The sequence below is a fragment of the Homo sapiens genome, chromosome 5 (assembly GCF_000001405.40).
Source record: "Homo sapiens chromosome 5, GRCh38.p14 Primary Assembly".
Lineage (NCBI taxonomy): Eukaryota > Metazoa > Chordata > Mammalia > Primates > Hominidae > Homo > Homo sapiens.
In genome coordinates this window covers 89,013,501-89,030,949 of record NC_000005.10, presented here as the reverse complement: position 1 = coordinate 89,030,949, position 17,449 = coordinate 89,013,501, and the positions used below count along the sequence as shown (strand labels likewise).

At 38.1% G+C, this 17,449-nt stretch overlaps 1 long non-coding RNA gene across 7 annotated transcripts in view; it reads right to left on the bottom strand.

Annotated features, from left to right (window-relative positions):
* Positions 1-17,449, bottom strand: part of MEF2C-AS1 (MEF2C antisense RNA 1) — a 584,252-nt gene that overhangs the window by 436,632 nt on the left and 130,171 nt on the right. The gene's annotated exons all lie outside the window — the stretch shown is intronic.

The following is a 17,449-nucleotide window of genomic DNA, read 5'->3' as shown; positions in this document are numbered from 1 at the left end:
TCACCACAATCCTGGAGACTTTTGAAAGTGGGAACAATGTGTAATTCATTCAACTTTTTTTTATAATAGGCAGTCCAAAATGTTCATCAGAAATAAATGAATACAATCCTCTTATTAGAAATACGCTCATGCATTCACTCATTCATACCTCATTCACTCATTCATACTTCATTCACTCATTCATACTTCAACTCAACAAGTAGTTACCTAGTATATATAAGATATGTGCTGCATAATGACATTTTGGTCAACAATGGACCATGTATATCTTATGGTACCAACAATAATCCCATAAGATTATAATACCGAGTTTTTACGGTACCTTTTCTAGGTTTAGACATATTTGTGAAAGTGTGCTCTACAAAGTTTGCACAATGATGAAATTGTCTAATGATGCATATCTCAGAATGTATCCTCATCATTAAGTGACACATAGTGGTAGCTTGCATCTTAGTGTAAAATAGTTTCTCAGATCCATTCCTCAGAAGTAGAGGGTGGAGGGCCGGGCACGGTGGCTCATGCCTGTAATCCCAGCACTTTGGGAGGCTGAGGCGGGCGGATCACGAGGTCAGGAGATCGAGACCATCCTGGCCAACATGGTGAAACCCCATCTCTACTAAAAATACAAAAAATTAGCCAGGCGTGGTGGCGGGCATCTGTAGTCCCAGCTACTCGGGAGGCTGAGGCAGAATGGCATGAACCTGGAGGCGGAGCTTGCAGTGAGCCGAGATTGCGCCACGACACTCCAGCCTGGGTGACAGAGCAAGACTCCGTCTCAAAAAAAAAAAAAAAAAAAGAAGTAGAGTGGGGAGACTTCGAGGCCACTGGAAATCTTTCAAATACATGACAACACGCAGTGGAAAAGAGCAGAGAAAAGGCAAAAAAAAAAATTATCCTGCTTAAGCATTTTGCCTATGGCTATCTCTGATGCTAAATGTATAGCATGTGCTTAATGAAACTTGTTGAATGACTGATTGATTATAGCTGAAGTTCAACTGTTTTCTGTCAAAGCAGGTGATAAAAATATCTGCTAAAAACTTCATCATCTTCAATACAAACTTTCATATAAAGCCAATTTTCATCTTGACAAATAACTAACCTACACAGGACTGATGTCATTCCTCACTAAAACCTTCCACATTTCTTGCATGCATATCTTTATTTTAAAAATACGTATCCATCAATGATTATATTATGTAGTATTTCTTCAAGCTTTAGGCCCCTAGCATTATATGCTGATTTTCTTGAAATGAGGAAAAAACATTTTCTCTTTAAACTAAATGCTAGTATATTTGTGCTTCTGTAAAGCAAGAAACTTGATTAGTTAGTTCTTCACTGAGACAGTAATCATTTATGTGAACAATGATCCCCCAGAGGCAGGGCAAGTTTTTGTGCTTCTTCTGAGGTCTTGTCAAATGACAAAATTACATCTGGTCCCATGCTATTATCAGACATAAATAACCATATTCATAAATTCTTAAGCTTTCAGAATTGAAAGGAACTTTCAGGATTTTCTATTTGAGGTTTCTACCAATGCAAGAATCCCTTTTCCCCCATTCCTCACAGGTTAAATCTGCCTGGATACAACCAGAGACAGAAATCATCTTCCTCAGAGGGAGCCAATTCCATTTCGGAATAAGTCTAATTCTTAGAATGCACTTCTATTTATTGAGCCAAAATCAGATTCCCTGAACTTCAAACATTGATCCTGGCTCTAGCCTCTAGTGTTTCAAAGATTTAATCTAATCCCTCTTCAAATACTGAAAGGCAGCCATGGTTCCCTCTAGGTATTTTCCAGTACAGCCTATAAACCTGACTAAATCTGTATCATCCAGCCCACATGTGTCTATTAACCACAAGGACATCATGAGCAATCACTTCAAAGGCCTTGCTCATGTACTAATCCCAGCACTTCTTTAACTACCAATTAAATAAGCAAAGCGAATTGGTCATAATTGCTCCTAGGAAATTCCTGTTGGCTCTTAGTGATCACTACCTACTTCTGGGTGCACATAAGCAATGTGTTTAATAATTCATTTGAAACTATGTTCGTTTTTGTTTGTGAATCCATCTTTCTCTCTGTATGACTCAAGGTTCAACCAGAGACAAGGGAAATCCACTTTAAGTAGTTAAAACATGAGGGGAGACAATACAGGGAACTGATTACACAGAAGCAGAAGGGCTCACTGTATCAGGGAGGTACTGAGGCAATCTAGATATTAGAAATCACCAGAAGCCACTAGGACTTCTTAGGCTGAAGGAGAAAAGGGGAGGAACCAGTGATAACTGGTGCCAGGAGTCAGGGTCACCCTGCAAAGATTGTACTGTGACAGGAGTGTAGAGCAGGAGTCACAGCTACAGAGGAGACACCACTTGAGACATTTTCAGAGATGTCACCTCAGACACAGAAGGACAGGACAAATAATCTGGCTTTTCTCTTCCACAGCCCTTTATGCTCCAGGGGCTTTCTAACTGGCTGAATCCACTGGAAAGCCAGAGGACACAGTAGCCTGGAAATGCACCAGCAAAGGGGCCATGGCAGAGCAGGCAAGAGGCAGATATTGGGGCCTTTCCACAATTCTCCATGATAATCAAAGGCTACATGCCTATGGAATAGTTCAGTACTTTGGAGGATAGCTTATTATATCACTTATTTTATTATGGTTTGTTTTAGCGGTGGCTTGATATGGTTTGGCTTTGTCCCCATCCAAATCTCATCTTGAATTGTAGCTCTCATAATTCCCATATGTTGTTGGAGGCACCTGGTGGGAGGTAATTGAATCTCAGCAGCAGGTTTATCCTGTGCTGTTCTCATGAGAGTGTATAAGTCTCACAAGATCTGATGGTTTTATAAAGGGGAGGTCCCTGCATGCACTCTCCTTGCCTGCTGCCACGTAAGATGTGCCTTTGTTCTTCCTTCACCATCCACTATAATTGTGAGGCCTCCCCAGCCATGTGGAACTGTGAGTCCATTAAACGTCATTCCTTTATAAATCACTCAGTCTTAGGTATGTCTTTATTAGCAGTGTGAGAACAGACTAATACAGTAAATTGGTACCAGGTAGCAAGGTGCTGCTGTAAACATACCGAAAAATAGTGGAAGTGACTTTGGAACAGAGTAACAGGCAGAGGTTGGAACAGTTTGGAGGGCTCAGAAGAAGACAGGAAAATGTGGGAAAGATTGGAACTTCCCTGCTCAGAAGACAAGAAGATGTGGGAAACTTTGGAACCGCCTAGAGTCTTGTTGAATGGCTTTCACCAAAATGCTGACAGTGATATGGACAATAAGGTCCAAGCTGAGGTGGTCTCATATGGAGATGAGGAACTTATTGGGAACTGGAAAAAAGGTGACTCTTGCTATGCAAAGAGACTCGTGGCATTTTGCCCCTGCCCTAGAGATCTGTGGAATTTTGAACTTGAGAGAGATGATTTGGGGTAACGAGTGGAAGAAATTTCAAAGCACTCAAGAAGTGACAGAGCATAAAAGTTTGGAAAATTTGCAGCCTGATGATGCAGTAGAAAAGAAAAACCCACTTTCTAGGGAGAAATTCAAGCTGCTGCAGAAACTTGCATAAGTAATGAGGAGGCAACTACTAATCACCAAGACAATGGGGAAAATGTCTCCAGGGCATGTCAGAGACTTTCACAGCAGTCCCTCCCATCACAGGCCTGGAGACCTAGGAGGGAAAAATGGTTTCCCTGGCCAGGCCCAGGTCCCCCTTGCTCTATGCAGCCTCCAAACATGGTGCCCTGCATCCCAGCTGTTTCAGCTTCAGCTGTGGCTAAAAGGAGCCAAAGTACAACTCAGGCTGTGGCTTCAGAGGGTGCAAGCCCCAAGCCTTTGCAGCTTACACATGGTGTTGGGCATGTGAGCGGACAAAAGTCAAGAATTGAGGTTTGGGAACCTCCACCTAGATTTCAGAGGATGTATGGAAATGCCTGGATGTCCAGGCAGAAGTTTGCCGCAGGGGATGGGTCCTCATGGAGAACCTCTGCTAGGGCAGTATGGAAGGGAAATGTGGGGTTGGAGCCCACACCCAGAGTCCCCACTGGGGCACTGCCTAGAGGAACTATGAAAATAAGGCCACCATCTTCCAGAACCCAGAATGGTAGACCCACTGACAGTTTATATCATGCATCTGGAAAAGCCTCAGACACTCAATGCCAGCCCATGAAAGCAGCCAGGAGAGGGGCTTTGCTCCTGCAAAGCCTCAGAAGCAGAGCTGCCCAAGGCCATGGGAGCCCACTTCTTGCATCAGCATGACCTGGATATGAGACACGGAGTCAAAGGAGATCATTTTTGGAAATTTAAGGTTTAATGACTGCCCTATTGGATTTCAGACTTGCATGGCAACTGTAGCCCCTTTGTTTTGCCCAATTTCTCCCATTTGGAATGGTTATATTTACCCAATGCTGGTACCCCTATTGTAACTGGGAAGTAACTAACTTACTTTTGATTTTACAGGCTAGTAGGCAGAAGGGACTTGCTTTGTCTCAGATGAGACTGGACTGTGGAATTTTGACTTAATGCTGAAATGAGTTAAGACTTTGCGAGACTCTTGGGAAGGCATGATTGGTTTTGAAATGTGAGGACATGAGATTTGGGAGGGGCTGGGACAGAATGATATGGTTTGGCTGTGTCCCCAGCCAAATTTCATCTTGAATTGTAGCTCTCATGGTTCCCATGTGTCATGGGAGGGAACTGGTGGGAGGTAACTGAATCATGGGGGTGGGTCTTTCCCAAGCTGTTCTCGTGATAGTGAATAAGTCCCATGAGATCTGATGGTTTTATAAAGGGGAGTTCTCCACATGTGCTCTCTTTGCCAGCTGCCATGTAAGACATGCCTTTGTGCTTCACCTTCCACCATGATTGTGAGGCCTCCCCAGCCATGTGGATCTGTGAGTCCATTAAACCTCATTCCTTTATAAATTACCCAGGCTCAGGTATGTCTTTATTAGCAGCATGAGAACAGACTAATACACTGCTCTTCACATAAATGTCTTTCCCAAATCTGAGCAAGCATGACACAACTTTGTGTTGTCATTTAACCTCCACAGCATTTACTAGTCTAGCACATGAGACACTAAATTAACACAATTTGTCTGATTTGGAAAAAAATCAATTATTCTCCAAAACTAGCTACTCATGTTTAATCTCCTCTCTTGTTTGCTGTTTAATTTCTGCTTAATCATGTTTGCATTTCATTTTTTAGTTTATAGATGGTGTTAACCGATAGTTAACTGGAGTTAAGTAGATCCAATTCTCCTTCTTAGAGGGTTAACTTGACAATATCCACTTACTGATTATTTGTCTAACAATGCAAACCCAGCTTTCATTGTGAGAAACATGAAATGTATTGTGAAAATGTTCAAATGACATTTAAGTGATGCATATCAATATTATATTTGTATTTTTAAAGTAATTCCATTCTCTCTTTTGAGATTTTACTAGAAGAATGTTTGTATAGTGTGCCTGGCACAAACATTTTTACATTTAGCAGCCGGTAGCTTTATAAAATCATCAGTCAGCTGGCTGAGTTCACGAATTTAGCTAATCTCCCTAACAAAATGGTAGGTTTTAACAGTAATTGGCAAAATTGAACAGCAATCAGATCATTGTGTTAAATCAGGATTCATATCCAGTTTTTCCTGACCGTCCAAAGTAAATGTTTTAATCACAAATACTAGACCGATTCTCAAATGGTGAAGTATAGAGCTGTTGCTGTCCCATGCATTACTAGCCATAGAGAGGTACTAAACACTTGAGGTGAGGCTCCTCTGTGTTGGCATATGCTGTGAGCATAAAATGCATATGAAAATTCAAAGACTTAGTTATACAGAAAAGAATGTGAGATATTTTATTAATATTTATATTGATTACATGTTAAAATGATTATAGTGTGGACACATTAAGTTAAATACAACATTGTTAATTTCCTCTTTTCACTTTTTAAATTTGGCTCCTAGAAAATTAAACTATATATATATATACATATATATGTCCAATACATATTATTTCATTTATGAAACAATATATGTTAGTATTTGTGGCTCTCTTTATCTTTCTATTGGAGAGTGCTGGTCTAGAGCAAATGAAGAGGTGACTGTCTGCTGAGACAGGACATAGCAGCTAAAGGAGAAGTCATCTCTCCTTTTAATTAGTTTTGTAATTGCAACAAATTCAATGTCAGACATTTAAAAGAGACAAGCCTATTCTCTTCACTCAAGCAAAACTCCCACTGCGGTTCCTAAGTGTTCTGCCTGAGTGAAACAAATGAGATTAGGCCCATAATGTTTACTTCATACTAAAACATTTGCTCTTTTCTAAAACTTTTTTAGTATACCATTGGCTACCAGGCTATACAAGTGTAGAATAGAGAAAAGGATGAAAGAACAATAAAGGAATGATTTGAAAGTGTTGTTTTGAAACATGTAACTAGTGCTGTCAGCTGCTGGTTCTTTCCATTTTGTACATTTACATTTCCTGACTGTAGTTTAAGAACATTTCACTGCGTGTTACTATCAATCATCCTTAACCTAGAAGTGCACTGTACATTAGTAACAGTTAATTGGCATATTTAAAGTAAATAGCTACTTAGTTTTGTTTTGAAGGTTTTGCATACAAATCTATAACACCACATGCTTTGTTTGTTTCAATAACAAACATCCCTGTCTGCAACATTGCCACCTCTGACAGTAGATGAATAGAGATGCAATCGCATTGAAATACTCAGCACACTATACGACAGCCCAAATGACATGCAGTGTGTAAGCAGGCACTCTCTGCCCACCAAATGATGCCCCTAGAGAAAGATGAACACAAAGACATGAAAAGGAGAGGCAATGTGAAGTAGTAGAAAGATGGTTAAGAAAGAAAGTTAAGGGAAAAAAAATAGAAATTATAACTCTGCCTATATTTTTCTATGTGTTAATGAGCTATAAGGGGGAATTATTTAGCAGACATTGTCTTGGCCTCTGCCATTTGTTCAATGTCAGGGTCACACTCAGCAAGCAACATGCTTCTCGAAGCTCAGGGAGAGCTACCATTCTACTCCCCACTCCCCTCAGAATCAGTCCAGTAGCAAGTAGAAATGGGCATCTTCCTTGGGCAGCAAGGCTAAAACAGTAATGGCTTAGGTATTTGATAAAAGAAGATAAAATAACAGGGATTTCTTTCCAATTGTGAGGTCAGGACATCTATGATATATATCTTAAAACAAACATTATACACTATATTTTGGGTGAATCCCAGCATCTCCTAGATTTGGAGACAGAAATCTTTACCTGAGTCAACAATATTTCTTTTGCTACCTGTGACCAAGGAATCAAAAGAGATCATCTGATAGTTATGTGTGTATGAGTGAGTGTGTGTGTGTGTCTGTCTGTCTGTATGTGTCTCTGTCTATGAGAGAAAGGGAGAGAGAAACAATATAAACAGTTATTAATATGGAACAATGTCACAATCCATAAAAATCCTATAACCTACAAAAAGTTTGAAATAAAATCAACTAACAGTGCAATTAGAAACCATAGTGATACTATTCTATTGCTAGCACTAAAAACATTATTTAAACTATACAAAGAGGTTAATGAAGAAAAAAGGTTTTATGGAAATAACCCGGAGAGTTAAACAGTGCTCATTTCTAATATTGTTTCTCTGGGAAATTTCAAATCTGAGATACCAAAAAAAGTTTTACTTATTTAACTTAGAAACATCATCAGTAAGCAGGAATTTGCTACTTTTATTAGCAGCAAAACCTAGCTATGGCATTTTTTCAGTGTTTGGAATATGATAATATAACCTGCAAAACTAGGAGTGGTCTGGGCACTTGTCCTTCATCTGCTCCCATGTATTACATCTACCTAGTAAAGAAAAAGAAGAAAAGTTGCAAATAGTGTTATCTTAAGGATCCAAAAATATGAAGAGGAGAATTTCTCTTTCTCAGTAAAAGTATCAGGAAGAATTTCCCATCTGTTCTAAATTTCTACTATTGAACTCTTCAGTTGAGGTCCACAGTCTTTCATGGTTCACTGTGAATTTCTAAATAGATGTTTTGACATCACTAACTCAAAACTAAAAAGCCAGAATTCTTTTCTGGGACAGTGTTTTCGAGGCCTTCTTTCCAATGAAGCTTTTCTATGTGTATTGTTAACACCACCATCCAGGCTGATATTAAGTTTTTGGGGCAGCATGTGTCTCTTTGTCACACAGCCCATTCGATTCAGGAGTGTACCCTATTCCATCTCTTTTGTTATATTTCCAAGATGTATTCATTTCTTTCAACAATTACCATTAAAGCTCTGGAGTCATGGTTAAAGCATAACTAAATGATCGCTATAACTTCTTGGTTGAATCCATTGTCTCTCTTTCAATCCATTTAAATGAAATGATGAAATTGTGGACTCTAACCAGTGCTTCTTAAACTATCCGTGGTAGAGAAAAGAGTTTTTGTTTCCTTCAATCCATCATGAACTGATACTTTTGTAAACAAAAATAAAATGAACCACTAGAAAAGTGAACACATGATTTGATGTCACAGCTATGTCAAATTGCTATAAAAGTTTCTAAATTCTGACTCTCAGTCTTTAGATTTGTCTCATCCTAGACCTCTACCCATTTCCTGATAAGTACAGGTTTGAAGACTACACTCTGATTAGCACCAATAAGCTACTGATTATCTAATGATCATTACTTTTTTTAGCCTTTACATGTATATCAGTACAGTACAAGCACCAAAAATAAACATAAAACTAAATTTTTGTTCAGATGGGTTGAGTCTAGAAAAAAACCCACAGAGGTCTTTTCTCTCCCATTAAATATCCTCTGACCTTAAAGCACTTTAAATCCTATAGATGTTAGATAAAATTGTCAAACAGCTTGTGACAAAGAAGTACCAACACCTTGATCAAAGCAAGAGAGGGCAGGAAAATACTTAAAAATATTATGGCCACTAAACTCCAAAAAAGAAGCAGAGAAATCATATACATATGCACGCACACACACATGCATACACACAAATTTCATCTAAGCATATTAAAGAAATTCTTAAGTATATTCTGCAAGAGGAATATACAAAATGTATCCAAGTTCTCATCACTAGGATGGCCAAATTCAGTGCTAAAAGGCAATATAGAAAAAAAGTATGAAATAAAAAGTTCAGTGTACTATCCCTTTACAACTAGTAAGGCTTTTTAAAAATCATCAAACTATTTATTTTGTGTGATATAAACAAAATATCCAGATGAATTTCTGAAATTTCAACCATATTGACTGAAGTTAATATGTTGCAGAGATACAAAGAGGCATTTCACTGAGATACTCACCTTACAGCTGTACTTTGATATACCATTTGTTTTATAGACTAAAATGCAGAAAGTATTGCCCTCATCCATAGGCTCAAAGAGTGATAATAATCCCCTTCCTTCTGGGTTCCATTGCTTGAGCCAGATTACTTTTCATACTGTTTCTTCATATACTTTGCAACACGATCACATCGCATTTTTCTTCAAAACTCTGGCAGATTGTTTGGGCTAGAGATAGATGGAGACAAGAGGCACCATCTGGTGCAAGATCTTTATTCCTTGTTAGCACTATAGGAGTTCTGGTATTTTACATGGTTCAAGCAGTAGCAAAGATTTTTAAAAATGCATAGATTGAGAAGGTGTAAGATGGTCAAATGGCCCTTGGCACAGTCTGATCATATCACCGGCTTCCTTGGTGTAGAGTTGGGGTTTTTTGTTGTCTTTTTTTTTTTTTTCCAATTCAGACATCCAGTGGCATATGGTTTCATGATTCACAAAGATGGTCCTTGACTATGGATTTGACGATCTCAACATAACTTTCAGGCTTGCCAGAGCTGTGTTACAGTGGAGAGAGCAAATAGCTCATGATATTTCTCCTCTGATGAGTAAGCTCCAAAATCTCAGGTTTAAATTTGATTTGGGATTGAAAGAAAAGGAATCATGTCCTCCCATTCCAGTGTCCATGCTATTTCTTTTTAAGAGCTGAATGTTTGTTTCTGCATCATTGGCTCACAGCTTTAGGAACCAAAGGCTCAAATAATATCCAGGTTAATTCTGTTGACCCTGATTAATTACATGCTTTTACTCTTTTATATACCTTTCTATTCTTTAGAAGTCCAAGACCTCCCTGAAACATTACTATTGTTTTAAAAATCTGGTGACTATTTAACAGAAAAAAATTTTCATGTTTCCTTCACAATTAAAGTCAGTATTTTCTAATGGAATTAGCTAAGAGTTGGGAGCCAGGACACTTGCCTGATGATGCTAAGAAACTAACTTGCAGTTACCTTATGAGGGTAAGTGAAAAAATGAACTGGAACATTTCTTTGGCAACAAACTAAAACACACAAAAAGTGAGGCTTATGCAAATTAATCCTGACTGCAATTCAACAACAAAGTTAAAGGACACCCTCACCTATTGCCCCTGATTTCAGAAGCCTACATGGAACTACTGTTGTTGGAATGTGTTGCCAAAAATTTGTAGTGTCATTATAATGATCACATTAATGGCATCTTAATATCCGTGAAATGCTCTGTCATTATCCTATACACATATGGTACTCATTCTCCCCTCTGCTTTTGGCCATTTTCTTTGATTCTTTCATTAATCCTAAACTCTCACTCTCTCTCCTGTTTCACTCATATGCTTTGTAACCTCCAGGCTCACTTTTTTATATGGTTTGCAGGATCCATAACTTATGACTTTTTTTTGAGTCCTTTGACCACTTATCCCTGCCATCCACCACTCTCTCACTGAAAGCTCCTTGCTTGATATCAGGAAATGGTGCAGATATCAATGGGAATGATGTAAAAGGAAGAAGGAAAAGGAGAAATAACGGAATGTGTCTAAGATAAATAGGGTTCTATGTTAAAGAAAGTAGATGTCAATATGACAGCAGATGGTGTAGATAAACTCAGAATGAATATGGCTAACCCACTGCATTTGACATATGGCTGATTGTAAACCATACATACAACTCAGATGTACAACACACTTCGCAGGTAGCTGTTCATTGGCTCTCTTTAGTCAAGTGCTATGCCAGAGTCAACTCTTTTTATATTTGTACAAGAGGTAGAGCACCTAATAATGTCTAGGTCACTCTTCTTAAAGGCTAATAATTTGTGAGGAGTCTTATTTTTATGTTAACAGCAAACAATTTCCTTTAAAGTATAAAGAAGAGTTATCTGTATACTTCCCACACCACTCCTCAGATTCGTTTTGAAGTGCGACTTTGTTTCTTCTTGGATCACATGTTCCAAAAGAAGAAATGAATATACATTACTCTGTCTAGATAAAGAAAAAGAAAGCAATCTCCCAGTGGCAGCTCATTTCTTCTCTACTCTTATGTTGGAGGTGAAACAGAAGGTGGAGTCCAGGGAATGACCAACATCATGTGCTTTGAATTGTAATAACTTCTGAAATCCTGGCTTGGGGAATAAATCTGAAGCTAGTGACAAATTCAGGATTCAAGTTGCTATCAATAAATAGATTATCTCAAAAGTTTCAATGGTGGCCCAGTGAATACAGAAAAAGGCCACATTTACCAAACTGACATTTAATGCTCTCCACAATCAGATATCAACCTATCTTTTCAATGTTTCAACTGCTATTTTCATTCATTAACCTTCATTTCCTTTGGAAAAATTTATTCACTGTTACTTTAAAACATCATATGGATTTAAGTTCTACAATGCCATTTACATGCATGTTCTTGTTGGGATGTCCACTTCCTTGCCTCTCAACTTGTTTAAACAGTATTCTCCCTTTAGAGGCTCCTAAAGATTCACACCATCTATGATTCCTTCCCAGCTACTCCAGGCCAGGATGATCTCTCTTCTGATCACCTAGAGATTTAATCTTCTGTACTACCCACTGAGCTCTTATTGTAGGCTATCTCTGGTTGCTAGTTAACACTTTTTACATGTGTCCTGTCATTCAGCTATACCAGGTGCTGTGGTTGTCTCAGACTGTAAGGTAATCGGAGGCAATCACTGTTTCTACATGCAACTTTTATAGAGCTTAGAAAAGGCACTCATTATATTTGTCAATGGATCATTTTATTGAATTCCTGCATTTTAAATTTAAGTGCATAATCAATGTTAGATGTTCAACTTCAAATTTCTGTAACTATACAGACCTTTGCTAACTTGAGGCTAGCTTTATAAAGGGCATGTTACTAGGCTTCATGTAAGCCTGAGATAACACCGTAAAATCTAACTTAGTAAAATACAGATTGAAAGCCTAAAAAATAAAGGGGAGATAAAATAAAAATTCCCTTCAATAATCTGCAGAAATGTACTCTGATTTTTAAGCCATCTCTTTAATATAGCTAATCGTCTGACCATCAACATAGCATTACAAGAGTTTTTTTTTTTTTTTTTTAAAGGGAGCTAGACATTGATCTGAGGATTGATCTCACCAGGTATTGACAACTAAAATAAAACAAGCAAATTAGGTACTGATGAAAAGATACTGAGACAAAGCTGGTCTGTATACTCTCAGCTAAGCTCTGAAAGAAGCAACCTGAGTAATACAGAAAGATCATTCTAGAAGAAATTTGGGAAAATAAATTAGGAAGATGACAGTATATAGAAAAATAAATGTGGTGACAAAGATAAATTTTACACCAGGTGAAATTTGATTCTATTTTTTTCCATTTATTTCTTTTTCTAAGACAATCTCACTCTGTTACCCAGGTTGGAAGGCAGTGGCACAATCACGGCTCACTGCAGCCTTCACCTCCCCAGGCTCAGATGATTCTCTCACCTCAGCCTCCTGACCAGCTGGGACTACAGGCGCATGCCACCACACCCAGCTAATTTTTATATTTTTTGTAGAGATGGGGTTTCACTATGTTTCCCAGGCTGGTGTTGAACTCCTGGGCTCCAGCAATCTGCCAGCCTTGGCCTCCCAAAGTGCTGGGATTACAGGCGTGAGGCACCATGCCCAGCCGTGATTCTATCCGTATATAGAACTGCAGCACAAACTTTTTATGCAAAAGTAACCATTTCATTCAGCCAAGCAAATCTTAGTTCAGTCAGCCAACCAGGTGGATTGACCACTCAATTAATTGGTCAGTTGATTGAGCTGACTAAATATTTGCTCATAACTTAAAGTGGCCTTAGAAGTTGAATAGTTTATAGCTGTAAAAAAGGATTTTCTAAGCTTAAAGTAACATACAAAATGTTGTGCCCCAGGCCACCAACTGTTCACCAAAGATGTATACTCCCCTCTACTCCCTCCATAGTGAAAACTGTTGCTAGAAGGCGACTACCCAGACAGGGACTCCATTTCCAGTCCCATTCACAATTAGGCGATGCCATATGTCTAGTTCTTGTCAAAGAAAAATGAGACTAAGTGGCACAGGCTGTTTGGGGAATGAAATGGTTAAAAACCATTTGTGCCTTCTCCACAGTCCCTCTTTTCCTGTCTGCCCAGCCTCTTCTCCTTTGCATGCTTTCATCATTGCTACTTTCTGGTCAGTGGGTTGGAAGAGACTTTGTCATAAGGTAAGATTTCTTTTCCCAAACCTTGTATTTATTCATTTCCATTAGCCTATTCAAAGCTTAAAGAGAGGCCTATAAAAGAACCCAATTATCTGGTGAAAACTGGGACCACTAGCTATGTGTCATAATTCAACATTTGATTACAATAACAATAATGATGATGGGGATGATGGTAACGAAAAGTAAAGGTTTTTTTGTTTGTTTGTTTTTACAAAAGAGATTCTTAAAAAAAATGCAAAACACCATGTTTATAAAGGCTTTTTAGAAGTATTTCAAAAAGAAAAAAAAAATCATTTCAATTAAAGCTGAGCTAAGCAGAATTTAAGCAATCTCTGTAACATCAGAAAGGAAAGACTGTTTAAGCCTATTGCAATTTATTCTCCCCAAGGCATTCATTGTTAAGGCCTCCAGGGCATTACCTTAGCCTAGTTTTAAAGTTACTGATTCAAACCACAGTCCATTCAAGTAAGCCCCTTGTGTTGGCCTTACTACTATGCAGTCCAAAGAATTGCATTGTCTTCCTAAGCAGCTAATTTCAAATGAACTCCGCACCACAGTCTCGTGGAACTGGGAACATCACCCAGAAGCTGAACCAGGGAAGAGTACAGAGTTAAGATCCTGTGAATTGGAAAGGAGTGAGACAACCCTGATGTATCCAAAAGATCTTGGAAATGAAACATGCTTTACTTAATTGTTCTACAATTTCTCTAACTGTAAGCTAATATTAGCATTTGCAAGGGAAAATAAAATGTTGCATAAGCTAAAATCTCATTGTTTTAAAAAAAATACAAGAATCACTTTTTCTTGGTTTGAACTGATTTTCCCTTTTCTCCAACTTTTGCTATTGTTGGGGTTTCCAAATATAATAATGTTTCTGACCATTCTTAATTGTGCCTTAATGGGTGTTAAGCATGGGAGTGTAGGCAAACATACAGAGTTTTCCAGCCTTTGACTGTTCCTTGCCTCTGGCCTCTGTCAGGGAGGCTTGCTAACTGCATCTCAGGGGAGCAATCACACGGCTTGACTCAGCCTGTGGCTCTGACTATTGGGACTTCCTGAAGTCACAACCACTTTGGCATCCAGTAATGGGGCACCACATGTCTACTCTTCACAAAATCCAGAGATTGCAAGGGAAGTGTGAAACGTGAGAGCTGATTAGGGATGCACCTTAAATGGTATCAAGGGAGCCAGTTAGCAATGCAAAATATGAGATAATATAAACATAACATTCACTGCCTGCCAGTTGATCACTTATGTGAGCACCACGAAGAGCAAAATACAACAGAAAAAAAAATTGGTGATCAGCAACAAATACAAGATTTCCTCAAAGATAATTTTGCATAGAAGTTCAACTGCATGGGTAAAATGCATAATAAAATGACGTGCAATGACATGCCAGCAGAATACGATATGTCTATTTGTCTTTCTGGAACTTGCTTGGTATTAATCAATTCTAGTGGGTGTACCTAGTTCTTTTATGCATATATCCTTTCTTTCTTGCATATTATTGATTGAGAGAATTTGCAGTAAGACGATATAATTATTTAGGCTGTATTTAACCCTCTTCTGTGACTACAATAGAATGATTCTATTTTCACTTGTAAGAGAAGCAAAAGTAATTTTAGTTTAAAGTAATTTTAATTCAGGAATTTCTTTTTTAATTACTAGTTCTTAAGGAGCATAGCATCTTGCTTAGCAAAGGGTCCCTTTTTTCCTCAGTGTTCTGGTGTAGCTACTCTCCTGCCAGCCCAGGCTTTCATAGAGAGGAGAAAAAAGTCTTTATAAAAGCCTTGGCCTAATTAACAAGAATGAACTAGATTTTATGATGAACAATTTATAGGCAGTTAATAGAGCTCATACACGGTAGCCAGGAGCTAGATAATTTATCATAAAAGGAATCTCAGTTACACTCCTAATCCCTGTTCTTTTAATATTGTAACCAACTGCATTCACAATTGCCACTTGTGTAAGCTTTGATTTACTGACAAATGATGCTGTATTTTATATAGTCATAATGAAATTTATAAGTACTGTAAATACTTGTATTTCTGTCCATATGCTTCAAATTCTTTGCCAATTTACTTCTCTACATTGTTCTCTCTAGATAAAAATGTTTCAGTGATCTCCTAAGGATTCTTCATCCTAGCATAAATAATAATAAAAACAATAACAAATTGTTTATTAAGCATACTAAGTACTTGTTGAAAAGACACTTATTTATCCTTAAAAGAATGATGCAGCTGTTGTAATGTGTTGTGAATGGGGAGCGTCAATACTTCCCCAAATCATAACTAAGATAAAATTGCAAATGTCCAAAAGTAATTTTTTAAATGGCACGATGTAAAATAGGTGAGGCCCAGGAAAATCACATCATCTGTTAGCACTTGGTGTCCTTTTATTGTTTCTATTTTAAAGCTATAGCAAAATACATCACACATCATGTGGGCAGAATTGGGTGACTGCCATCACCTTAATTACATCTCATTTATCCATTGCTTTCCACAAGTAGTTCTTGAAGGCCTCAAATTAGAGAACACTTCCTCCATGAAGGCTTCCCTGACCACTGGTATACCTCCTAGAGGCATTCTTACCACCCTGTTCCTCCTCCTAGCAGAAAAACAAATACAACTGGGTTGTTTGCTTGATTCCTGTTCACATCCCACATTGACCATGTAAGGACCTCCTTACTTCCAGTCTTGAGTCTAGCAGACTGCCTGGGACATAATGTATGTGTGAATGAATGATGTTCTGGTTTTGAAAGGCTGTTTTAATATAAGTGGGAATACATCATCTTAGTTGTAATTATGATCCAGCAATAAAGTTGATTACTGAAATTGACAGTGAATTAGTGTATATTTTAAAAAGTAGAACATTCAAAAGTCATTACTCTGTTCCCTTCCTATGCCCAACATTATAAATACTTTTAAACATTATGTTATATTTTGATCTTCCACATTTGAAAGGGACACGTTGCAATAAAAGAATGACTAGAATAAAAATCCAGAAGTCAGAGAAATATGATTGTTTAACCTGCAACAGATGTGCTAAATATTACATTAATCATGCTCTCTTGGGACACAAAGAAAGTTCTCCCCATTCCTCAAAAGTACAGAGCCATGGCCCGTTGCAAAGTTGTTTAGGCCCCAGAAGTAACAGCTTTCTGACCTGACGGGCTACAAGATATGAGATTATGTGTCTACCGGTCCACTCAAGAGATCACTTTTCAAGTGATTAGAGATTTAGTTCTGCCTGCCAGGCAACCACTTTTTATATGGCCAATCAAATTACAGGTATGTGGTCAATTTTATTTTATCATCAACTGTTTTTGAATATCAAATATACTTGTCTTTCATCCAGGGCTTCTCATTTCCTATCTGGGGTTATGGAAATTGATTCTATTATTTTTTTATAGAAATATATTTTTCTAGTAAAAGGGAAAATGAGACCTTTCCCTTCCAGATTTCACCCATCACCAGAGAGAAGCTAAGGCTCAAAACAGCTGTCTCAGAAGGCAGGTCCATGGCTGCTGAATCATTCTCAAGAAGACAGCATCCCCAGCACACTCAGAATGGCTAGCAGAACGTGGTAGAAAATCTGCTAGTTTGCTGACACCTTTTCCATTTTATTTCTTGTCACTGAGGTGCAGAGACCCAGCACAGAACATGCTCCCAGCAATGTCTACTGAGAATGTCAGCCCAGCAGGGCTGTGCTACCCCATGACACCTCTGAGAATATGGAACCAACAACTCTGCTGCTCTGAATCAAAATAAAGCCTAAAAATGCTATCTTTTATGATTCTTAATGTCAACTAAAAATAACAGAGGTGGTTAGTTAAGACCTAAGGTTCACCTTGGATTTTTTTCCTAATTGTGCATATCCTAAAAAGTGTCTTTTTTCCAAATGGAATTGGTCATTGACA